This window comes from Homo sapiens, chromosome X, assembly GCF_000001405.40.
Source record: "Homo sapiens chromosome X, GRCh38.p14 Primary Assembly".
In the NCBI taxonomy this organism is placed as follows: Eukaryota; Metazoa; Chordata; class Mammalia; order Primates; family Hominidae; genus Homo; species Homo sapiens.
This window is the reverse complement of record NC_000023.11, coordinates 30698264-30723544: the sequence shown is the minus strand read 5'-3', so window position 1 is coordinate 30723544 and position 25281 is coordinate 30698264. Positions and strand designations below refer to the sequence as shown.

At 37.9% G+C, this 25281-nt stretch overlaps 1 protein-coding gene and 1 long non-coding RNA gene across 16 annotated transcripts in view; one reads left to right on the top strand and one right to left on the bottom strand.

Moving 5' to 3' along the window:
• Positions 1–25281, bottom strand: part of GK (glycerol kinase) — a 78040-nt gene that overhangs the window by 7918 nt on the left and 44841 nt on the right. For all 15 annotated transcript variants that reach the window (NR_174369.1, NR_174370.1, NR_174373.1 and 12 more), the window contains 9 exons: positions 23096–23131; positions 22640–22707; positions 15947–15989; positions 15411–15491; positions 4929–5007; positions 4030–4126; positions 3450–3534; positions 2804–2924; positions 2550–2693 (listed from right to left, as the gene is read on the bottom strand). Coding sequence is in view for 8 of the 15 variants with exons in the window: in XM_011545491.3 (XP_011543793.1) it covers positions 2550–2693; positions 2804–2924; positions 3450–3534; positions 4030–4126; positions 4929–5007; positions 15411–15491; positions 15947–15989; positions 22640–22707; positions 23096–23131 (754 nt within the window). In the remaining 7 variants the exon portion in view is untranslated. The remainder of the gene's footprint in view (positions 1–2549; positions 2694–2803; positions 2925–3449; positions 3535–4029; positions 4127–4928; positions 5008–15410; positions 15492–15946; positions 15990–22639; positions 22708–23095; positions 23132–25281) is intronic.
• On the top strand, positions 5446–23481 carry GK-AS1 (GK antisense RNA 1). Its single transcript, NR_046603.1, has one exon. It is a non-coding gene; the product is annotated as a GK antisense RNA 1 (long non-coding RNA).

Sequence of the window (25281 nt, the reverse complement as noted above, 5' to 3'; positions counted from 1 at the left end):
GGCCACTCACAAACAAGTGGTAATGAATTAGAAAGGGGAATCCCATTTGATCTGTTTTCTCTTCTTTTTGGGGGGAAAGGGTACGAGGAAAAGGGTATGCTGTAATGTGGGAAGACTAGAAGGAGACATTTTTATTTCTTTTTTTTTTTTGAGACTGAGTCTCGCTCTGTCGCCCAGGCTGGAGTGCAGTGGTGCCATCTCGGCTCACTGCAAGCTCTGCCTCCCGGGTTCACGCCATTCTCCTGCCTCAGCCTCCCCGGTAGCTGGGACTACAGGCGCCCACCACCACGCCCAGCTAATTTTTTGTATTTCTAGTAGAGATGGGGTTTCACCGTGCTAGCCAGGATGGTCTTGATCTCCTGACCTCGTGATCCGCCCGCCTCGGCTTCCCAAAGTGCTGGGATTACAGGCGTGAGCCACCACGCCCCGCAGGAGACGTTTTTATTTCAGTCACAGGATTTAACAAATACTGATTTCTCATAAGATTTGAATTGCATTCCTCTGAGACAGCCCCATGCCCCCCAACCCCAGCATCTTAAAGCAAGATTTTTTAAAGGTGGAAATCCACAATAGAAAGTCTAAACAAAAATGAGCTTGATGTTGTACACTTCTAAGGGTGCTGAACCCCATGTGGGGCTACCTTTCTCTCAAGCCTCCCAGACTTTCCATAGCACCTGAGGCCTGCAACACCCAGGAGAGAAGGCTCAAGAATCACTCACTTCAGAAAGCTTTCCAGTGCCCCATTTCTATCCCCCCCTCTCTCTTCACACACACCCCAGGATGTCAGCTACCAAATTTTTATGGTTTTGTCTTCTGCTCCCAATATACTCTAATCTTCTGAAGGGCAAAAGAAGATAAGAAGATAAGGCCTTATTCATCTCTATATCCCCACATCAGTACAGTCTCTGGCCTGTGGTTGGCTATAAACAACTGTTTGCTGGCAAAATGTACTATCTATGCCTAGGTGCCCATTCGTTTATGGGGAGGAGTGAGGGCTGGTGAGAGGGAGGACAATAGGGCATGACTGATCAACCCCAGGCTAAGGCCTTCAACACCAGCAAAGATGGCTCCCCTAAGAATGGAGATGGCTCTCTTGGCACAGAACTTCCTTGCTTTAAGAGTGAGATTGGCATTTAGAGGCCATATACCCGCTCTGGACATTATTTGCATATTATAAAGTTGATTTTTTTTGAAAAGTAGAAAAATTTTTTGAACTTCATATTTTATCCAGTATTGCAAAAGTTAAAAATGACAGAATATCAGATGGTGAAATACATTTCTAAATCAAGGTACATGGTATAATCTGACTATAAAATTACTAGTATTATAATTCATTTTCTTATATGTTAAAAGAATGAATAAAATTGAGAAACACTGGTATATTCTCCCAGAAAACCAAACAAAAATGCATTTGAAAGCTTATTCCCAATACCTCAAAATCCACTTTGATGCTTTTTTTTTCCTTTTGTTTTTTTAGAGACAGGGGTCTCATTATGTTGCCTAGGCTGGACTCGAACTCCTGGGCCCAAGCCAAGAGATCCTCCTGGGTAGCTGGGGCTATAGGCACAAATTACCATTCCCAGCTGATGCTATTTTATGCATAGGTTTCTAAAAAGTTATAAAACCAATTCTAATATATAAAACCTTATTTTTCTACATTTATTTAAATTTAAGAACCGCATCACTACATTTTAGTAAAAGTGCTGATCACAGCTTGTGGCTTAGCTTAGTTAGCACAGTGAATCAGATATCTAATGTTCACTTACTTAAATTGTTGCTGCCTTCATCAGGTTAGTCCTGCTGTGCTTAAAAGTTACCAGAGTGTCTCTTAACCCAGCTAATTATGTCCTAAAACTGGGCCACTGGCACCAAAGATGATCTGGTGTAGACATTAGGGATGAGTGGCTGATATATCTTCCTTCTCACTTTAAAAAAGGCTATGGCCGGGCGCGGTGGCTCACGCCTGTAATCCCAGCACTTTGGGAAGCCAAGGCGGGCGGATCACGAAGTCAGGAGATCGAGACCATCCTGGCTAACGCGGTGAAATGCTGTCTCTACTAAAAATACAAAAAAAAAAAAAAAAAAATTAGGCGGGCGTAGTGGTGGGCACCTGTTGTCCCAGCTACTCGGGAGGCTGAGGCGGGAGAATGGCATGAACCCGGGAGGCGGAGCTTGCAGTGAGCCGAGATTGTGCCACTGCACTCCAGCCTGGGCAACAAAGTGAGACTCCGTCTCAAAAAAAAAAAAAGGCTATTCTAACTAGCTATACCTGACAGTGTGGCAGTATTATTATCCTACACTAAAGGACCATAAACAGTAAAAGCAAATGATTTTTAAAAAGTGATTTTAGAAGTTCTTTTGATAAGCAACGATTTCTCTCATTCACATTTATTCAGTAAAGCCCAATATGCTTGGCAGCCGAATCTGCAATGATAACATTTACTATTTTACTTGGTTCCTTAACTTTTAACTAAACAGAAAAACAAAACTCCCGTGCACTAAGGTCGTTTTCACAGTATATCACTGAACATTTCATTCTTTAAATGTACCCTCCGCATTAATCTGAGGTTCAAACCGCTCCATCGTGACGGCAGACAAATCCTCGGGTTCGAGACTCCATACGCCGACTCCTTCTGCAGCCCCTGCCGCCATAGCCGCACCCAGTGCAGTGGTTTCGGGCATTGAGGGCTTCACTGAGGAGAGAGAGTTCCATCAATATCTTTGTGGTTACATATGCCCAAAGAACTAGTTATTCCACAAGAAACATTACTCTGGGAGTTTAAAGGAATGAAGACTTACTAACCTACTGGTATATACAGAATGTCTGCTTGTAGCTGCATAAGAATTTTGTTGCTGGTCATTCCTCCATCTACCTGCAAATGACTGAGTGGAATTCCACAGTCTCGATTCATGGCATCCAAAATCTTAAATAAACCAGTGCAATTAATGTTATAAATCTATTTCATAGTAACATCTCTGAAAATGGCAATCCTCCACTCAGAAACTCTCAAGAGCTTCCAAGAGCCTATGGAATAAATTGAGACTTCTTATTCTGGTCTTCTAAGCCCTCTTTGATCTGGTCACAGCCAACCTTTTCTCTCACTACACCTCTGCATTCACCTTGATATTCAGCTAAGCTATACAACTCTATTTTGCACCCTGTTTTTCTGCCTTGATGCCTATGTTTGTGCTGTTTCCTTTGCCTAATGTGTGCCACTCAGCCTCCCCACAACCATAAAATTCCCAGTGCCTGACAGGGAACAGGAACTTAGAAGGTAATGACAGCTGGAAAAAGGGGGAAAACCCTGCTTATATTTAGATTAGTATTTAGGCAGCCTTAATATTTGATTAACTACATTTTCAGTACTGAATAAATCTCGGGTGTTAACATATAACTTAAGAGTGATAAAAGTGAACTAAGTACAAGAAAACAGGCCCATATTTGTTACCTCTCGAGTTTGGAAACAAACAGCTTCTAATGCAGCAAAAGCAATATGGCATTTATTGGTGAACTGAGTGAGTCCACAGATTATCCTAAAAATACGCACAAAGATTTTCAGATTAGAATGATATAAACCAATCAATTTGAAATATCTCAAATATGAAAAGGTCAAATTTGGTAGACAGAAATGTCCAGGAAGAGAAAATTGGACATAATCATTAAGTAACTCAGAAAGTCCTTATATTTCACAATTCTGCATTCATGTATGAAAAAATTCATGACACATTTGAAAAGATGATGGCATCATAAAACTGAATCAGTATTCATTATGATGATGTCCCTTCACTATACAACTTACAGACATCATGAAGATAAAAGATAACATGAATACGGATATGGCAGGGGTTATTGTCAGCTGATTCATAACTTCTTGGAGCTTAAAGTTTCTGAAATTATATTCTCCAAAAAGAAAAGGTTTTCTCAACACATTATAATTATTTGAAAATAGATAAGAAACTAATAAGTTATTAACGACTTTGGTAAATAAATCAAGATCCCCAAAAGCACTCCATATTTTCAATACTTACCCTCTTGCGCTGGGCTCCCAATAAGGTGCATATAACCCCGAAAATGCTGGGACGAAGTAGCAGCCATAAGAAGTACCTACTTCTTTAGCAAGTTTTTCTAACATTAAAAACAAAACAAAACAAAAATCACACAAATATTGTGTATTATTATATAAGCATACCTATTTTAAAAATTAGAAAAATTAGGACAGGGGTTTTGGTTTCCAATTCATTGGTAGAGCAAAATGTTGCTAACTACAGTAGTATGCTAGGATCAACAGAAATGAGTTTCTCTCACATTAAATACCCCCCACTAAAATGTAGCCTAGCTCAAGAAATCAAGGAACCAGATTCATTTATTTAAGGTATTTTAGCTCATTTCCACTATTTTTAAGGTTGCTGACTAGGAGATGAAAAAGTGGCCTCTAGTGTGTCCCTAATCAGAAATGTATTTCTGATTGTCTCACCTTCAGGCAAAGTTAAGCAAGTGGATGAAAGAGTGAGTAGGTAAGTTCAAACTAATTATCTATAGACTGAAAACAGCCGTATTAATACTTAAATTATAGGTACCAGAGTTTTAATGCTCACTCTAATCTAAGAGTTAAAGCTCTTTCTCATCAGATAAATTTAACTCAACTTCTCTATCTGCAGGTTCTGGCAATCTCCAGTGTTCAATTTTACACTTGGGTAATTTTTATGCCCTACATTGCCAGTTTATTAACAACCACCACTAATTATGTCAATTCCTTGTTTTATAAATCTTCACAAGATAGTCTTTTGCATAAGTCAAACTCATAATAGGGATCCATATAATTTATGGATCACATTTGGGGCAAAGCATAAGTATTTACTTTGCAGAGATAAAATACTGAAATGTGTCATTTTTCAGATTTTCTAACCTTTTGTTAGAACACACTCACCAATTTCTTCTGAGGTCTTTATAATTCCAAGATTGTCTCTTAGCCAGCGAATAACAGCACCAGCTATAGCTACAGAACCCTAAAGAAAAAAAGGAATTCAAGACAGAATATATTTTATCACTATCCAAGGTTTTTATTGAGCATATTCTGTGTATGACACAATCAGATGGACAGAATTCAGTTTCCATTTTGAGACTCCGACAAATATGTAAACTAGGTCTTCTAATACAAACATAGTTTTATCTAAGTCACTAATAAAAGTTTTTCACGGGATGAGGAAAAGAAGTGAGCTTTCCAGCACACCCTTGGATTTGTCCCCATAGGTGGACATTGATCTTTGATCAGTTTGCTTCTTGAACAATTTTCTGTCTGTTGCTAAGCTACTGAGGTATGTTATCACTTAGAAATATATTGCCATATTGTTCATAAAATTATTGGGAGAGGCCACATTAAAAGTTTTTTCAAGTCTGTTTCCCATATCTAACAGTATAGTAAATCAAGAAAACAAAAAGCAAAGAAGCTAGCTAGTAAGTAATTTTTCTTTAAAACAAAATCACCTAGAGCTGTGGCAATAACAATAAAAACATATTTCAGAGTTGGATAAACTGGCTTTGAGTCCCAGTTCTAGTACTTAATTGCTGTGTAATCTTAGTAACTAATCTAAGTAACTTAGTAAGTTAATCTTAGCAAGTTCATCTAAGTAACTTGCCTAAGTTACTTAGGCTTTCTGAGCCTCCATTTCTTCACCTATAAAATGATGACTATGACAACACTTACCTAAACAAATTACTGTGAGGCTCAATATGAGAATATATGTGAAGGTTCTTACTAAATGTAAATATTGACTTCATTAATTTCTTTAATGTTAAAAAAGTATCAGCCAAATATCACTGACTGATGAATAGATAAAACGCAGTATGTCTACACAATGGAGTATTATTGGACTATGAAAAGGAATGATGTCTTAATACATGCTACAACATGGATGAGCATTGAAAACATTATGCAAAGTGAAAGAAGCCAGGCACAGAAGACGATATATTGTACGATCCCATTCATATGAAATGTCCAGAACAGACAAATCCATAGAGACAGAAAGTAGATTAGTGGTTGCCTGGGCTGGGGGATAGGGGGTGGTTATGGGGTTTCTTTTTGGGGTGGTGACAATGTTCTAAAGTTAGATTGTGGTGATGGTTGTAAAAATCTGTAAATATAGTATTACTATAAACCATTGAACTGTATATTTGAAAAGGGTAAATTGTGTGGAATATGAACTATATCTCAATAAAGCTATTATAAAAAGATCCTGAAGGCAAAAAAAAAAAGAAGTATCAGCACGAACCATTAGGAATACCAAGAAATTTTTTTTAGCTCTGATAGTTCATTCATATAGATTATTAATGTAAATTACTTCCACAGAGTCACTCCAAACCAAACGTCAGGTAATATTAAATGTAGGGACCTGTCCTCAGTTCTATTAACTGAATTACAAATGGTCATGCCTTCTTGTTGTCAGTTGTCAAAATGTAAGTAAACTAGAGAATGAATATGCTGGTATATTCCATCATTCATAGCTTCTATGAGAAGTTACTATGTTACTGCAAAGCTACAGAATGCCACAATTGTTCTGTTTATACATTTTTATATATGTAGACATACATACAGTACTCTGTATCATTACATATATAAAATGGCTTTTTAACCACAGGAAGTATTTGAGGAACAGATCTGGCATAGCTGTGCAAATATGACAAGGCTTTAAAAATGGGACAAAAACAATTCAAGAAATACCTTACAAGGGACTCTAACACAGCTCATTCCCTGCCTAAAATAAGTTGTTGTATTAAGTTTGACACATTTACATATTTAGGTACTTAGTGGGATCATTCAAGAGAACTAAGTAAAATTTTGGTTTAAAGAGATTTAAGATTCAAATTTCCTTTGGAAACAGACAATTCAGAGATAGCAGCTGCCAAATACTAGTAAATATGTAAGAGTTTCTAGACCAGTGCTGTCCAACAGAAATATAAAGTGAGTCACATATGTAATTTATATTTTTGCCACATTAAAAAGGTAAAAGGAAGGTAAAATTAATATTTTATTTAACCCAATGTATTAAAAAAAATTTCAACATGAAATCAATATTAAATTATTGAGATTTTTTTTTGTACTATCTTTGAAATCTGGTATATACTTTACACTTACAGCACATCTCAATTCAGACTAGCCACATTTCCAGTGCTCAATAGCTGCATGTGGCCATGGCTGCCATGGGCAGTATAATTCTAGACCTAATTGAAAAAGAAAAACAAAAACAGGTGTCCCTCCTCCTTATACTCTCAAAGACACTGTCCTTAAATAGCATCTAACCAAGAAATGCATACATAATTGTTTTAGGCAAGTACAGTTAAACTGCGAATTTTTAGAAGCCACTGTGCTAGGAGTCTAGTAAAGTGATTTTGTGGCACAGCTGGTGGGACTTTATACTCTAGGAAACCACGTGCTGATATACCTCATTTCCATTGAAAAAGATAGGATGTTACATGCTTACACCATATTTTTAAGAGAAAGCAATATGATTTTAGCAAAAGGAAAATCAAGGTTTTGATTAGAGGTAATTAGTTGAGAATCAGAGTATTATTTAGATTAAAACAAAAGAAAAAAAATACATAGTCACTGTTAAGGCTCCAGGAGATAACTGTTTTAAATTCTGTCATCAGGAATACACAGAAGTGTTTTGTTGTGATTGAAAAACTAGATTCAATATAACACAATAAAAGGTAGATAAAAACACTTATCTGAAAAAAGTAAATAATTTTGCTGTCAGGATATAATACATGGTATGATTTAGCTTTTAAAGAAATAAAAATGAGAGACATCTCTAATTCACAAAAGACATGTGGTCTTCTGAATTCAGAGGCAGGAAATAAAATGGAAGATGGTAATAATGTTTCAAAGCTGGACAGGAAAAGAGTATAGCAGCCAAAACCTAAAATGATAAAAGAAGGTGACTGTCTACTTGTTATCAGTTAAGTTACCATAAATTACACCCTAAGTATAAAGATCCAATACTTTAGTATATCATCTACAAATTTGAATCAGCCCTTGTTCTAGGTTATGATTCCCTGGAAAAGATGCATGCAAGCTTAATAGTTGTACACTAAGGGAGATGCAATGAAAGTGAGAGGGTGTAAAGAATAATAAATTAAATTATAACAGGGCAAGAGGAATAAATTATTTTAAAACTAGACATGTAGCCTGGAAAGTGAAAGGCTAATAAACAGGCTATAGGAAGATTGAATTAAAAATAATCAAGTAGATCTGATGTAATGTCATAGCAGGCAAATACATTTTTCTTCAAAAGCTCCTTGACATGAATGCCACTGCCACAAACAGTATAAAAATAAAGCAGGATATTTCAGGATGCAGTAGAATTGTAGCTTACAAGGCAATTAGGGTGAAAATTGGTGAGTATGGAGAAAAATCAGGTAAAGTAAAGATTACCCTAAATTGCTTACAATCATTCATCAGGCATAGCAAACACAGTTTTGTGTATACTACAGTGCTATGTATCTGTACGTATATGATTTATAATGTAGTTAATTTGTATATATTAGATTACAAATGCAGTGTCTAACTCTATAGCATTTTTAATTGCATAGAGAAAGGGAAGAGTTGAATTGGAGCAACATTATTTTTGAAATGTAACAGATTTCATTAATACTTCAGTAACAAGTTGGGGAACTAAAATTAAAAGCATTTATTGCTCAGAAAGTATACTTTTCAAGAAAGAACATTATAAAAGTTCATAAACAATGTTTATATGCTTGTGGCAGATAGACTTTTAATTAAGGTGGCTCCCATGATCCCTGCCTCCTGATGTGCATACCCTTGCATAATCCTCGCCTCTTGAGCGTGGTGATATCTGTGACTTTCTTCTACCCAACAGTACATGTCAAAAGTGATGGGATATGTGTGGTGATGTGTACGTGCTTCCATTACATGATTTACTGTGCCTGTCTTGCTGGAGATATTCCCTCCCTTCCTGACTTTAAGGAAGCAGAGAACCACTGGGGGTCCCTCAGATAGCAGGGAACTGCAGGTAGCCCTAGGAGCTGAGGGTGGCCTCCATCTGACAGGTAGCAAGAAACTGAAGTCCTCAGTTCCACAACCACAAGGAACTGAATTTTGCCAATAACCTGAATGAACCTGGAAGCAGATTAAACCTCAGATGACAGCAGAGCCTCAGTCAACATCTTGACTGCAGCCCTGTGAGACTCTGAGCAGGGTACCCAGCTAAGCTGTGCCTGGATTCTGAACCCATGGGAACTGAGAAACAATAAATGTGTTGTTTTAAGCCACTTAAGTTTGTGGTAATCTTGTTACACAGCAATAGATAATCTATTACATAGGTTTATACCTAAAATAGGGATTTAGCTCAAGAAGGATGAAAAACTCTAAAAAGGAAATCTTAACGCTATAATCGTTAAACCATAACAAAGAAAAGATAGGGGAAGAGATATTTAAAGAAACCAGGGAGGCAATATAGGGAACCCTCTTTGAAGCTCATATTTAAAAAGAAAAAAATGGCCTAACATAGGATTCGGTATTTGAACAATATTTAATGGGTATGTATTATCTGCCAGCCTGCTGGGACAGAGTGGTAAACAAGATAGACAAGTACCCTGGCCTCAGGAAATCTATATTCTAGTGACAAAACACGGAACATGGAAGTCTCAAGTCATAAGTAAGCTCAGGTTCATACTCATATTAAAAGTTCCCAAAAGGATTTTTGTTTTGTGAAACAGTATTTGGAAAAAGAAGAGGAACAAGGATGCCAGAGGGAAGGCAGAACCACTCAATGGCTCTATTTTGCTCCAGTCTCTTCCACTACTGAGAAATATTTTCCAACTAGAAAGGGTGGGACAAATTTAACCAGTTTAATATGAGTTTAATGTCACAGAACAACTTAAGGATCATGAACACCTATTTCTTTTTACAAATAATGAAAATGAGAATTTAGAGGTATTAAAATGTCAGGCCTTACTATCACCTGCCAGGGGCTTCAGGGAGAGAAAAAGAGTTCTCTTGGTGATGAAAAAGAAGATGCAGATGCTTACATGAGCAGAAATAATGAGTTTGTACTTCAAAAATCCCCTTTGTTCTAACCACAGAGGATAACAGACACGATATAAAAGAGAAAACTGAAACAACATGCTGACTCAAATACAGAATAACATCTATGTGGACAGACACGGAAACACATAACCAAACAGGACTGAAGCCACAAGCATGATGGCTTCTGATTTATTTTTCTATATGTGTCAGGGAGTAGGAGTGGTGGCTGGGAACTGGTTCCTCCAGAAGAAAGGGGTCCAAAATGTTTTGCGCAAGACAGGGAATAGAATCAGGCTCAATGCTTGAAGCCAGGAGCTAGGTGGCGCTCTCTTACTTGTGTAGGGATGCTAGAAAAACAAGCAACTGTGTATTTGCTGACTGAGGCTATATGGCTTAATGGAAGACAAGGCTGGAAGTGACAATTCTAAACTATACGAAGAAATCTTGTATTAAGAAATCCAACAAGGCCGGGCGCGGTGGCTCACGCCTGTAATTCCAGCACTTTGGGAGGCCGAGGCGGGCGGATCACCAGGTCAGGAGATCGAGACCATCCTGGCTAACACGGTGAAACTTCGTTATTTCCAGTCTTTACTAAAAATACAAAAAATTAGCCGGGCATGGTGGTGGGCATCTGTAGTCCCAGCTACTCGGGAGGCTGAGGCAGGAGAATGGCGTGAACCTGGGAGACAGAGCTTGCAGTGAGCCGAGATCAGGCCACTGAATTCCAGCCTGGGCGACAGAGCGAGACTCCATCTCAAAAAAAAAAAAAAAAAAAAAAAAAGAAAAGAAAAAAGAAATCCAACAAACTTAATAGCTGGACTAGAGTTCATTCCGGCCTAACACAGATTTTAAAATACATATGTTTTAAGTATTCGGAGATAAATTAGGAAATGACTTCCATTTTAAAAACAAACAAACATGAAACTAAGAATAAAAAAAAAAGAGAACTGAAACAAAATCAGGTGGATGTGAAAAATAACCAAATAAAAACTATAGAAATGAAAATATTAAATAAGATGAAAAATGTACTAGATGGGGTAAACTCTAGACTAGATAGAGAGGATGAGTAAACTAGCATTCCCCCATATTGCTGGTAGGAGTGTAACTTGACACATCTACTGTGAAAAATGGTTTGCACTATCTACTCAAAGTGAAGATACACATAATCTATGGCCTAGAAATTCTACTCCTACAGAAAGGTGAATACATTTACATCAGGAGGCATATACAAAAATGTTCATAGCAGCATTTTTCATAATAGCCAAATACTGAAAACAACTCGAATGTCATCAACAGCTGAATAAATACTAAACTTCAATAATTTCATATAGCAATAAGAAGCAATGAAAAAAACAGCTATGTATAATACTGTGGATGAATCTCACAAACATAATGTTGAGTGAAAGAAGCCAGATCAAAAAATACAAAAAAATACATACTAAGTGACTCAGATATGCATGCACATGCTCTCTCTCTCTTTTCTTTTATATTTTTAATATATCAAATATTAAACACATGCAAAACTAAACTCTGGTGTTCAGGGCTGCACATTTAAGTGTTAGAACTACAAAGAAAAGTAAGGAAGTGATTATGATAAAAGTCAGGCTGATGTTTATCTCAGGGAGAGGGAGGAAGTTGTGATCGTGGGGCAAATAGAGGTTCTTGGGATTGGCGGCGTTCTATGAACAAGTTACATGAGCCTTTATAATAATTTTTCAAGTTGTACATTGATATTTAATGCATTTTTCTCTATGTGTCTTATATTTCACAATACAAAAAAGGCTTTTATGATTTGTCTTGTTTGTTTTAAAGAGAGGATTTGGAAATGGAAGGTAGATACTGAGAAACTCACCAGGGACGCAGCACAGAGAAACAAAGAGATTAAAAAAATATAAAAGGGCAGTTAAGAGACATGGATGATGGGTTGAAAGGTTCCAATATTCATCCAATAGCAATTCCAGAAGAGGATGGAGGTAATGGTAGAGGAGCAATATTTGAAGAGATAATTGCTGAGAACTTTCCAGATCTGAAGACAGACTTGGATCCAAGTACCTAACAGGATAAATAAAAATAAATCCAAACACAGGCATATCATAGTAAAACTACAGAACATCAATGATAAAGAGATAATGTTAGAAACTCCCAGACAATAAACCAGATTATCTACAAATGAACCACATATTGACAGCAGAGGTCTCATCAACATCGAAAATGGCCAGAAGGGATGTGGGAAAAACAATTGTTAATATAGGCTTTTATACTCATCCTCAGAGTGAGGGCAAAACAAAGACAAACCTAAAAAGAATAGGCTTACTATCCCACACTAAAACTAAAAGAACTATAGAAGGATGCCCCTCAGCAAAAAAAAAAAGAAGAAGAAAAAAAGGAAAAAAGTAGGTGGGAATAAAAAAGGTGTGAGACCAAAGAAATGATACTGGACACAAACTAAGAAAAATAAGTCAATAAATATGATTTACTGTGGACTGCAAAGAAAACAACAGTAATTATTACATGTTGAACAAAATGGGGGAAATGAAAGCTTTAAACAAAATAACACAATTGGTGATGGAGGCGGTAGAATAAAATATTAGAGTTCCTTATCATGGTCGGGAGATTAAAAATACCAAAAAATGACATACACTCTTAGAAAAATATATGGTTAAACAATATCTTAAAAATCTGAGGGTATACGCAAAAGAAAAAAAATCACCAAAATAAAAACATAGAAATGTATCTTATTGTTCCCAAATCAGCAGAGGAAGAATGGAAAAAGACTAAAAGACTGAAGATGGGTAGCTATAGTTTTAGGTTTTAAAGAGCATAAAGACTAAAATTTTCCTATCTCCAACTTCTAAGCCTAACAACAATTGATCAAATGAAAGACAATATTATTAAATATATACTTTGTAAGCATTTACAAAAAAAGGAATTAGTATGACCAAGTGAAATTAGCATGTGTTTACTGATAAAAAGTTTTACCAGTCTAGCATTATTCCCCACCCTTGTTTTTTGGTTTGGTTTAATTTAATTTTTTTTAAATGTTTGTTAATTGTAAAAAAAAATTAAGAAAACAAAGAAAAAAATTCTAACTACACCGTTAACATATTAGTATGCGTATGTGTGTTGTTGTTGTTGCTGAGACCGCTAGGTTAGCAGATGAAGGAAGGGACATAAGCTAGATGCAGTGACAACAACACTGGACTTGGGAGACTGGAGCCCAGAACTTTCAGACTTACAAGGAAGGAAATGGTACAGCAGGGTGGCCTAGGCATCAAGGCTTTGATGTCCAAGCATCTGGATCTGCTACTTACTGTTGTCAAAAGTTACTTGGCCAAGGGACTCCAATTTCACTTTTCTAATCTCGGTTTCCTCACGTGTAAAACAAGGGGATAGGAGGGTATATTGTCATATGATCTAGCGTCTCTCTGAGCTTTTACAATTCTAAGCATCTAAAAGCATTACATAAATTGAAACAAAATCATAAAGCATATACTTGTTAAATCTCTAGATGAGACAAAACTGAAAGAGTAACAGTAAAGAGTGAAAACGAATTCAGACTATATAGGAATAGGCTAAAATCACTATTATGAAATTAAACAGGAAGAAACAAAGACCTGAATTTAGATTTAACAAAAAAACTACACAAATACAGAACAGAGCAGACTTGGTTTGACAATGATTCATTTGAAAACGAGCTAGGTTTTTTAGCATATGCTCCCAGGGCCAATAATATGAAGTCTAAATTAATATTAATTATTTTAATTAATAAATATTAATTTAATAAATATTAGTCTAAATTAATGAACTCTCAGGCTAGAGGAGCAAAAGTAGTGCTTATGGTAGGAGAGGCACAAATCATCCTATTGATTGAGTACAGGTCAGATTAGATGTAGAATGTTATATTCCATTCTGGACGACATGAATTGCAATGCACCCAATGAAGGGAGCTCAGAACTATAAAGCATCCAGAAACCATGTGAGATCAAGGCATTGGGTCAGTTTACCCTGGAGGAGGAAGACCCAGAGAAACTGACCGCAGCCTCTAATGTTGGAACACTTTTGACAACCAATGCAGGTCCAATGCTAGAGGTGTTATTAAGAAGCAACTTTGGGTGCTGTCTTCAGATAGAAGTTGGATGGCTACTGGTAAAGGAGACAGGAGAAGGTTTTTCACATTGGGAGGGGAGTTAAGACCGAGTGACCCCTGTCCCTGAGGCCTGTCCCAGGTCTAAGGCACCTGTATTCTAAAGCACTGATTGTTTCCCATGCAAGAAGAAAAAAAGCAGAATCATATTCTTATTATATTATAGGTAACACTTATCAAGTGCATATTCTATGTGCCTAGTGTTGTGCTATGCACTCTCCACAGAGGGAAAGTAGAGAGGGAGAGGGCTTGTAGGATTTTAAGTTCTGAGAAGTGTTAAGATACATTTAATATACAGACTAAGTTTTCACAAATGCTTCCATCCATAGAAAAGGAGCTGGGGAGAAATATTATAGTGTTTATGGGGTGGGGAAGGGAGAAAAATAGAAATAAACTAATATTCCTCATGTGCTAGGCATAATGACTAATAAAATGTTTTAACTCTAACTAGAAGTCTTTAACTTGTGACCAAATTATTATCAGGCACTCCAAAAAATGAGCCTCAATGAGTCTGCAGATCAAGTGTATACTTGTGCATTATAAGGTAGCCATTTCAAAATTAATTATATAGAAATGCTTATAAGAAATGTATCTAATTTTACAAAAAGAATATTATTTCTTTGACTTTATAAATAAATATTTCTAACACTAACTTACCATATCCTATAGGCTTAGGCTGGCATATTCCTACTATAACATACAAAAATGTTTGAAACAAATGTTTCCAGTGATAAGTGGCATAAATCTCCTCACTTTCTTTTCTATATCAAAATGTTACACAAAATTTATTTTTATGAGGAGACAAGTGAAGAGAGTTGTTCTGCCTATTTGTGCCCAGGGTTCTCTTTGGAACACTGGAGCATTTTATTTATAAAATCAAAGAATTTTCAAGATGAAAGAAATGTTAGAGAGCACGTTAATCCGATTAAACTTTAGAGATAAAAAAAAAAAAAACCTTACATTGTAGAGCTCTCAAGTAATATGCCTAAGGTGACATGATTAATTGGCATAAGAACTGAGGAACCAATCTAATCAAGGTCTCCTGTGAGTCCTGACACCCAGATCAGTTTCAGGTTCCTTCAACTCAATCAAATGCCAAGAAAGCAGAACTTTTTGAGTCCTCTGTATTAAGATTTACCAGAAAAGTGTTAGAAAACACTGTAATTTTTATTAGCTTTGAATGTTTGTCATATTATCCATATTGATTAAAAAGAACTTACTTCCAAAGCATAATATACTGGTTTGTCTCTGCCAAGTTTGTAAGCCACTGTGGTGAGAAGGCCATGATCAGAAAATACACACTGTAAGAAAGAAAAAAAAAAGATTTCAGTAGTGGAAAATGAAAAGATAACATGAGAACTTTTTTTTAAAGTTAAAATAACATAGGTACAAAATAATGCAATCAATAAACCAATTTTTAAAATAAATCCTTACAGTCAAAACGATCAGAATTAAGAACACATTTAAGCTGTATAAAAAGTTTATTCCTTGTTTCAAATTAGATTTGCATTAAGAATTTGATGAGGTCTCAGTCTAGATTTCCCACCAGCACAATTAAAAACACACATATAAAATTCAAAGAGTCTAAAATGGTTCTTATTAGAACGATTCAAATTTTGTATTGAGCTCTAAATTAAACCCTGATAAAGATTAAGTAAAAGCTAAAGACTAAAAGTTGTTTAATAGTAAATTATGTTCAAGCATTATTTAGATGAACTTAGACTTTTAAATCAATTTTTTAATTTAAAAAACCAACCTTATGGCCTGTATTACATAGTAAGAAACATCCTGTTCCATACCTATGGTTGAAGGGAGAATGAATAGTAAGACAATTTTATTGAAAGCAAATAATGAAACATTAATAACACAAATGATCAAAACTGACATATAATTTAGTCCAAAAAAGTCATTATAGTTTTATAAAAGTTCCTAAAGTTAACAAAAATCATATATCTTCCTGGAATAATGTTTTAGAAATCAGCCTAGAAGAAAATGTACTTAGTGCAATCTTTTTTTTTTTTTTTTTGAGATGGAGTCTTGCTCTGTCACCAGGCTGGAGTGCAGTGGCGCGATCTTGGCTCATTGCAACCTCCGCCTCCCGAGTTCAAGCGATTCTCCTGCCTCAGCCTCCCAAGTAGCTGGGACTACAGGCATGTGCCACCACGCCCAGCTAATTTTTTCTATTTTTAGTAGAGACGGGGTTTCACCGTGTTAGTCAGGATGGCCTTGATCTCCTGACTTCGTGATCCACCCACCTCAGCCTCCCAAAGTGCTGGGATTACAGACGTTTAAGCCACTGTGCCTGGCCATTGCAATCTTAATAGAAAAATGCAGATATAGTATTTAGTGTTTAGTCAGTCCTAGGCCAGGGCTGTGTTTATAAAATACCACTGAATTACAACAAATTCTAAGTTCTGTCATAGTTATGTTACTACTAATCCATGTGGAGTGAAGCATCATGACTGACAGCCAGCTTAGCTCTATCATTAATACAGTCATAAAATGAGAAACACCACTACCTTCTGGCAGGGTGGGGAGGCTGGATACAGAGTGTGGGAGGGTGTAGTTGGAAAGCTAGGACAAGAGTGGCATGGAACGGAAGGCAATTTAAGGTCTACCTTTGATAATCAGAGCCAGAATGTAACATGGCTGATACAGAAGAACTGAATTTATTTTGTGGCAGCCTTATCAATATAAACTTTGGATTCTGCAGCAAGTCTGGCCCTTGGACATTAATAGGTAGTTTTGACATGTGCCAGGCAGATAAGTGGCCCAAAGTGATACCAGTAAGGGTCACAGAGGAACAGTTAAGCTTGGGGTAACAAGGTTGCTACAGTCACCCTTGCTTGGCTCTGCCCAAGCTGGGCATTCCTTCCCCGTGGGCCTTGCTGCTGTGCCCTGCACCACCAGGGTTCTAACTGTGCTGGTGACATTCCAGCAACTGAAAGATGGGACAGTGCTCAGTCCAGGAGCTGGCAGAAGGATCCCAGAAGAAGCTACCACCAGTCAGCACTAACTCAACAGATCCCATCAGCTGCATTTTGATTGTGCAACAAACACAAAACCAAGGGAAATTGTTTTCCGACATTTTTCCAGGTACCATTGTTACCATAAGGATTAGCCTAGGATAGTCTATCTCTTCTCACCCAAATATATTCTTGGCCTGCTTGATGAGCAGGTGACAAATTCAAGGAGCATGGGACTAATATCTAATTTTGTAAAGATACTTGTCAAATAACACTAGGTACAGGTAATACATTTACAAACTAAAACACAAAATCACTATACCGTTTTATTGCCGCACACTGAAAAAGCTACATGTTTCAAGTTAATCTACTGTGATAAATATTCATAAAAATGGAAGTTAATTATCTATTTCATGCTTTTTAAAGGAGAAATCTGTACCAATTTAGCATCCATATAAACACTATACTGAACAGTAGCGTACGCGTCTTAGTGCAAAACTGATGAGAAGACTGAAGGTACTTAATAAAAGTGAATTCTTAAGTGAGTATACTTAATAAGCAATTAATGAGTATTAGCAAATATGAAGAGACTTCTTTGCTATACTTAGGCCACAGCTTTTAAAGCAGTACACAGGCAAGTATTTTCCTCTTAAATTTTATTGTTCTTTCTTCCCAGTCATCAAGCACATATGGAGCTTTCAGCATTTACATGATCTACCTCGCCTTCCTCATTGTACATTGTACTCACAGAACACTGTACTGTGTTCAAACATAGCAGAAAGATGTCTCACTTTTCTAACTTCTACAAAGGTAAACGTTGCTTGCTCTCCTTCATGACTATCAGATCAGGACTGAGCAGCCCAGAGAGGTGTGACGAAGATGGCGCATAGGGGCAGGGGGGTTGACCCCAGAGGAAGCTGTGAGGGAGGTAAAAAACTCTGTCACACCCAGTCAGCACTACTGGACAAATGAGACAGCTATCTCATGTGCTCTTTCAGAAAAATAAAATTTAATGTTCAAATAATTTTTACATTCTAGAAAAATTGGAAAATACAGCTAAGCTGAAAGAAAAATTAGAATCATCCATAATTTCTTCCCCCACTCTGAAACAGAGATGGGCTTTTCATTGAATTCTGAGCTGACTGTCATTTTCTCCCTGCTGAGGTTGGGAGAAATTAACTAAATTTTCAATCCCAATCTCTCTAACCTCTTACTTGGTCTTGTCCATCACTTATCCCCCATTTATTTTACAACTTTCATCTGTTCTCCGCTCAGACTCCAAAGAAACATTCTCTGGTCTTACCATAACTTACAAACAAAATCAAACAAAATTCCCAAAATGTTACATAATCCTGTTAACCTCACAAACTATGTCCTTCTCTCACCATTCCTGGATGGTTGTATTTTTGCAAAGCACATGTCTTCGATTTCCTACCTGCTTACATCTCTTTTGACCATTTGCAACCAGGCTTCTATCTTGAGCATTCTAGTACAACTTCACTCTTGAAAGTCACAAAACGGCTGGGCGCGGTGGCTCACGCCTGTAATCCCAGCACTTTGGGAGGCTGAGGTGGGCAGATCATGAGGTCAAGAGATCGAGACCATCCTGGCCAACATGGTGAAACCCCGTCTCTACTAAAAATACAAAAATTAGCTGGGTGTGGTGGCGGGCGCCTGTAGTCCCAGCTACTCGGGGGGCTGAGGCAGGAGAACTGCTTGAACCTGGGAGGCAGAGGTTGCAGTGAGTTGAGATCATGCCACTGCACTCCAGCCTGGTGACAGAGCGAGACTCCATCTCAAAAAAAAAAAAAGTCACCAAACGAAGACCTAATTTCTATGTATAATGGTCCATTCTTGGTACTCAGCCTCCATGACCTCTTAGTAATGTTTTGCGCTACTGACCATGCCTCCCTCATAAATATGTCTACCCTGGATTTCCACACTAATGAATAATTTCAGGCTAGGTGCAGTGGCTCATGCCTATAATCCCAGTAGTTTGGGAGGCTGAGGCAGGAGGATTGCTTGAGCCCAGGAAGTTGACACAGCCTGGGCAATATAGTAAGACCCTATCTCTACAAAAAATTTAAAAATTAGCTGAGTGTGGTGGCATGCACCTGTAGTATCAGCTACTCAGGAGGCTGAGAGGGGAGGATCACTTGAGCCCAGGAGGTCAAGGTTGCAGTATGCTGGGATCTCACTACTGCACTCCAGCCTAAGTGACAGAGCAAGACCCTATCTCATATATATATATATATATATAAAATGAATAACTGCATTGTTTTTCTGACTTCTCCATCCCCGTGCCTGCTACTTCTACTTGTGTAAATATCTCCTCTACTTGTATATTTTTTCTTGGTAATTTCATCTACTTCTGTTGCTTCAAAATCCCCTCTATCTAGGGAAATTCTAAAATTTCCATCTTTTTTTTTTTTGAGGCAGTCTCTCTGTCACCCAGGTTGGAGTGCAGTGATGCAATCTCGGCTCACTGCAGCCTCCACCTCCCAGGTTCAAGCAATTTTCATGCCTCAGCCTTCTGAGTAGCTGGGATTACAAGCACTCACCACCACACCCAGCTAATTTTTGTGTTTGTAGTAGAGACAGGGTTCTGCCATGATGGCCAGACTGGTCTCAAACTCCTGACTTCAAGTGATCCACCTGCCTTGGCCTCCCAAAGTGCTGGCATTACAGGTATGAGCCACTGTGCCTGGCCAAAAATTTCTATTTTTATACTGAACTTATTCCACATTTCCAAATGTGTGCAACATACAGCCTGCCAGCACCACAAACACGCTCTGAACAGAAATTCTTCCACTCAGACCCTTTCCTTACTTTGGCTAAGCCTAACCACAGGGTCCAGGTACCTAGATGACATACCTACTTCCCCTCCCTTTCTCCTCTGCAGTGCCATGCACATTCACTCATGGCCTCCCTCTCTGTCTCCATCCTTCTGAGCCCATGTGCTCATTACCGGGACACTATGGTGGCTTCCTCCATGGCATCTTGGCCTCTAGTCTTTCCTCACTTTCACCCAAGACTGCTACTGACAACTCCAGTCATCTCTGAACACCAGCTTATAAACCTTCAAAAGTTTCCTATTGCCTATCAAGAAAAGCTCCTTAGCCTGAAATATAGGGCTTCACAACATGATCCTAGCTTTATATTTTTTGTCACTTCCCTACTCTAATGTTCTCTACATTCTCTAAACAAAGTCTTCTATTTCCCCATACGTATCTTTGTTCAATGTTCCCTGTACCCTCCAATACTGCTCATTTTTCAAAGCATCTCATTACTAAGATAATCTTTTGTGACTTTTCTATCCTCCCATTGAAACCCAACAGCTTTGCTTCAAAGTTTCTCATGGCACTTGATTCCAGCTGCCTGGAACCCAGATTCCAAGAATGTTTCCAGACTCAGGCTGACTCAGATGCTCTTGGTCATGTAACCTCAGATTACCATGACCTGCAAAGAATTCCCACATCCCTCCTCCTCAAAAAACTCTCACACAAATAATGTCACACTCTTGCATGAGAGCCACTGACCCTGCTAGACTACAAGAACGTTTAATCTAGAAATGTTACACATTCCATTATTCACAAAGGAAGAACTTAACCACTGAAGTTAAAATCGATGAGATAATTAGGAAATCCTCAAGAAAATAGCAATTAAATGTAGCCTCTTGCCAGTTATATGGAAATCTTTTCCATACAGGAGGTAGTACAGTACACAGGTTAAGAACCCTGGCTAAGGAATGACATGGATCTGGGTGCAAATATTGCATCTCCCACTTACTAGTTGTGTGCTGTTGCATAAATTTTTTTCTTTAATTCTCAGTTTCTTGATCTATAAAATGGGAATAATAGGATCTATATGTGGATTAAATGATATCATGTGTTTAAAGCACATGAAACATTATAGGTAACACAATAGCCATTGGCTAAGCTTGTGTTATAATTGTTAGTATTAATTCAGCTTTTGAGGCATATTTAATTTTGTTCATGAATACGTATAATTGGCAGGTAGATTTTTTAATATTTAAAAGATTACCTTGGCCAGGAGTGGTGGCTCACGCCTGTAATCCCAGCACTTTGGGAGGCCAAGGCGGGCAGATCACCTGAGGTCAGGAGTTTGAGACCAGCCTGACCAACATGGAGAAACTCCGTCTCTACTAAAAATACAAAATTAGCTGGGCGTGGTGGCGCATGCCTATAATCCCAGCTACTCGGGAGGCTAAGGCAGGAGAATAGCTTGAACTTGGGAGGCGGAGGTTGCAGTGAGCCGAGATCGCGCCATTGCACTCCAGCCTGGGCAAGAAGAACGAAACTCCATCTCAAAAAAAAAAAATAAATAAAAATAAAAAGTAAAAATAAATAAATAAATAAAAAGATTACCTTCAAATAAATATAGTGATTGGTGGGAACAGAAAGAAAGAGTGCCAGATTCAGACTCAGAAGGCATGGCCTTGAGATCTGGTTCTGCTTTTGTGTCAAGGCTATGACCTTAGGCAAGCTCCTTGAGTATCCATTTTCTTATCCTAAAGTGGGAGTCATCTTCTTATTACTCTTAGATATGGGGCTTGTTCCAGATTCTGCATGTGTGAGTAGTAAGAAGATGAGATTGAGAGAAAAATATACCAAATCTCTACTTCTATCATTCTTTCTGCTTCTTGTCAAAGGAGAAACTTCAGATAATGGAGAGAAAGCACAATGCCAGGAAAGGCGAAACTTCAGATAATGGAGAGAAAGCACAATGCCAGGAAAATAACCTTGAAAATCCCACAAAAATATAACTTTACAGTTAGTGAGAAAGACTTAATATGCCAAAAACTATATATTACAGCTCTTCCTCACTTCTTCCCACCCCTCTCACCACCCCACCAATCTCCCCAAAAAGGCAAGAATACTTTGAACCAAAATTTAGTTTTTAGGATATAAAAGGTAATGAATTTTACAAATTAAGGTTTTGTTTATTTGTTTGTTTTTGAGACAGAGCTTCACTCTTGTTGCCCAGGCTGGCATACAATGGCGTGATCTCGGCTCACCGCAACCTCCACCTCCCGGGTTCAAGCGATTCTCCTGCCTCAGCTTCCCGAGTAGCTGGGATTACAGGCATGCACCAACACGCCCGGCTAATTTTGTACTTTTAGTAGAGATGGGGTTTCTCCATGTTGGTCAGGCTGGTCTCTAACTCCCGGCCTCAGGTGATCCACCTGTCTCGGCCACTCAAAGTGCTGGGATTACAGGCGTGAGCCACCGCGCCCAGCCTACAAATTTAGGTCTTTATAAGCTTCATCAGTGTGCATATATATGGCATTTTGTATTTTATTTAAAGATATAAAAAAATGGTAAAAAGTGTATATATGCATATTGGAGCTATTAAGCTATTGATTTTCATCCTGGATGAACTTCAAAAGCTTTTCCTTATTCAAAGCACCAAGTAGAAAAAACAAAACAGCATTGGTTTTTAAGTCTGTTTCTTAAACTCACGTATTTTTGGCTTGTCCAATCTGGAAGCACATTTGTCCCACCAATGCAGCAGACTGGTCCCCTAAACACTGAAAGTATAAATGACAATAAAGAACACTGACTAATACAATAGTATTAACTTTCTTTTTAGAAGAGCCATAGGATTTTTCATTTTTTATTTATCAAAGAATGAACTGTCTATTTCCTTGCATTTTCTCCATTTGGCCATTTTCCCCATTTGTTAATACCATTTGTTAATATGTAAGATAATAGGTATGGGAAGGGAGAGTTAAAATTAATTTATTCAAAAGATTCTCAATGGCCCACAGTATGACATGTAAGAACAAGAATTAGCCAATTTTGCAACTTTTACTTGTTTTCCCTAGTTTAAAAAGAGGCACACTGATGAACTAAGAGGAGGAAAGCCATAACATGGGGAAGGGTGGGGATGGGGAGACACTTGGTGATGAAACTTACCCCAGATATTGGCACACCTTCCAAGGCCCCAGCTTTCTAATAAAATTTAAAAAAAGGATTATGAATAGTCACAAAATTTTGGCTCTACTAACATAGCTGCAACAAGAGTGAACACAAGTAGCAATGTGCCAGAGGATGTGGGCAGACAAGACAAAGAAAGCATTTCAACTAAATGAATGATAAAGAGACAGATACTACAAGTATTCCTAGAATGACAGGAAGAGATGTGGCACTGGAGAATGAACATAAAACGTTAGACTGGGAGCCAGTAAATGAGGGCTCTACTCTTGGTTAGTTAGTTAGTATTAATCTACTAGCAGGCTGTTGAAACCTCTCAATACATCACATTATTTCTCTACAAAATGGAGATTGGGCTACGTGATTGCTCAAGTTCATTAGTACTTTGCTATTATTGCCATTATTAAGAAATGACTAATATATTCTTCCAATAGCTATCAAACCAGTATGAAACACATTTATTTTGCAAGGCCATATTTTAGCAACTTTTCTTTCTACTCAAGCTGCTCTAAACACAAGAGTGTTCAGGTATTGTATATTATTTGTTCATAGCAAACATCTTTCTTCAAATTTAGATAAGCAACAGTTAATTTATGTCATAAATACTGGTTTTTATTTTGATCATGATGGCCAGCATTCTAGGAAGAAAAATGAGATTTAAGTGGCTGATTGTAGACTTGACAACCTTAATTTTAAAAAAAGACACATTAACTCAAGGCAATATTTAATGATATTAAGGAATTAGGAGAACTAAGAAATAGGATCCCCAGCCGGGCACTGTGCCTCCTGCCTGTAATCCCAGCACTTTGGGAGGCCGAGGTGGGAGGATCACCTGAGGTCAGGACTTGAAGACCAGCCTGGCCAACATGGTGAAACCCCATCTCCACAAAAATACCAAAATTAGCCGGGCATGATGGCGGGTACCTGTAATCCCAGCTACTCAGGAGGCTGAGGTGGAAGAATCACTTGAACTCAGGAGGCGGGGTTGCAGTGAGCCAAGATCATGCCATTGCACTCCAGCCTGGGTGACAGAGTGAGCCTCCGTCTCAAAAAAAAAAAAAAAGTGTGTGTGTATATATATATATAAAACGTATGTGTGTATATATATATATAACATGTTATATATATACATGTTATGTATAACATGTTGTATATATACATGTTATACATAACATGTATATATAACATGTTATACATAACATGTATATATAACATGTATATATATAACATATATATAAAACATATATATATATATAAAATCCCTGAAGTAGGGGTGATGTACTAGGATGAGCACCAAACTAAAGCTTTGGACCTGACTCCTTGGTCTGCCATGTATGAGCAAGTCTCCCAGGCTCTGGGAGCTTTAGATATCCCGTCTGTTAAAGTGAGGGCAAGAATAGAATTCACCTCACATAGCTATGATAATGAAGAAATAATAGCATAAATGTAGAAACCCTTTACAAAATAGAAAATGTCCTCTAGATAGCTGGTATCATTTTATTTCTTTCTTGTTTTCTGGTTAATTCAAAACCTGCTATTTTCTTTTCTTTTTTTTTTTTTTTTTTGAGATGGAGTTTCACTCTTGTTGCCCAGGCTGGCATGCAATGGCACCATCTCGGCTCACCACAACCTCCGCCTCCTGGGTTCAAGTGATTCTCCTGCCTCAGCCTCCCGAGTAGCTGGGAATACAGGCATGTGCCAGCACACCCGGCTAATTTTTTTTTTTTTTTGAGACGGAGTCTCCCTCTCGCCCAGGCTGGAGTGCAGTGGCGCGATCTCGGCTCACTGCAAGCTCCGCCTCCCAGGTTCACGCCATTCTCCTGCCTCGGCCTCCCAAGTAGCTGGGATTACAGGCACCCGCTACCATGCCCGGCTAATTTTTTTGTATTTTTAGTAGAGACGGGGTTTCACCATGTTAGCCAGGATGGTCTCGATCTCCTGACCTCGTGATCCGCCCGCCTCGGCCTCCCAAAGTGCTGGGATTACAGGCGTGAGCCACCGTGCCCAGCAAAACCTGCTATTTTCATTTACTGTATATATTCTTTGAAAATCTGAACCTGGATATTAAGTAAAGGGTAAATTTCATAAAAGGCTTAAAGTGAATCTATAGGAAACCTAGAGGCTATATATCTTGATATATTTAAGTATTACAAGAAGTCTTTGCTTAT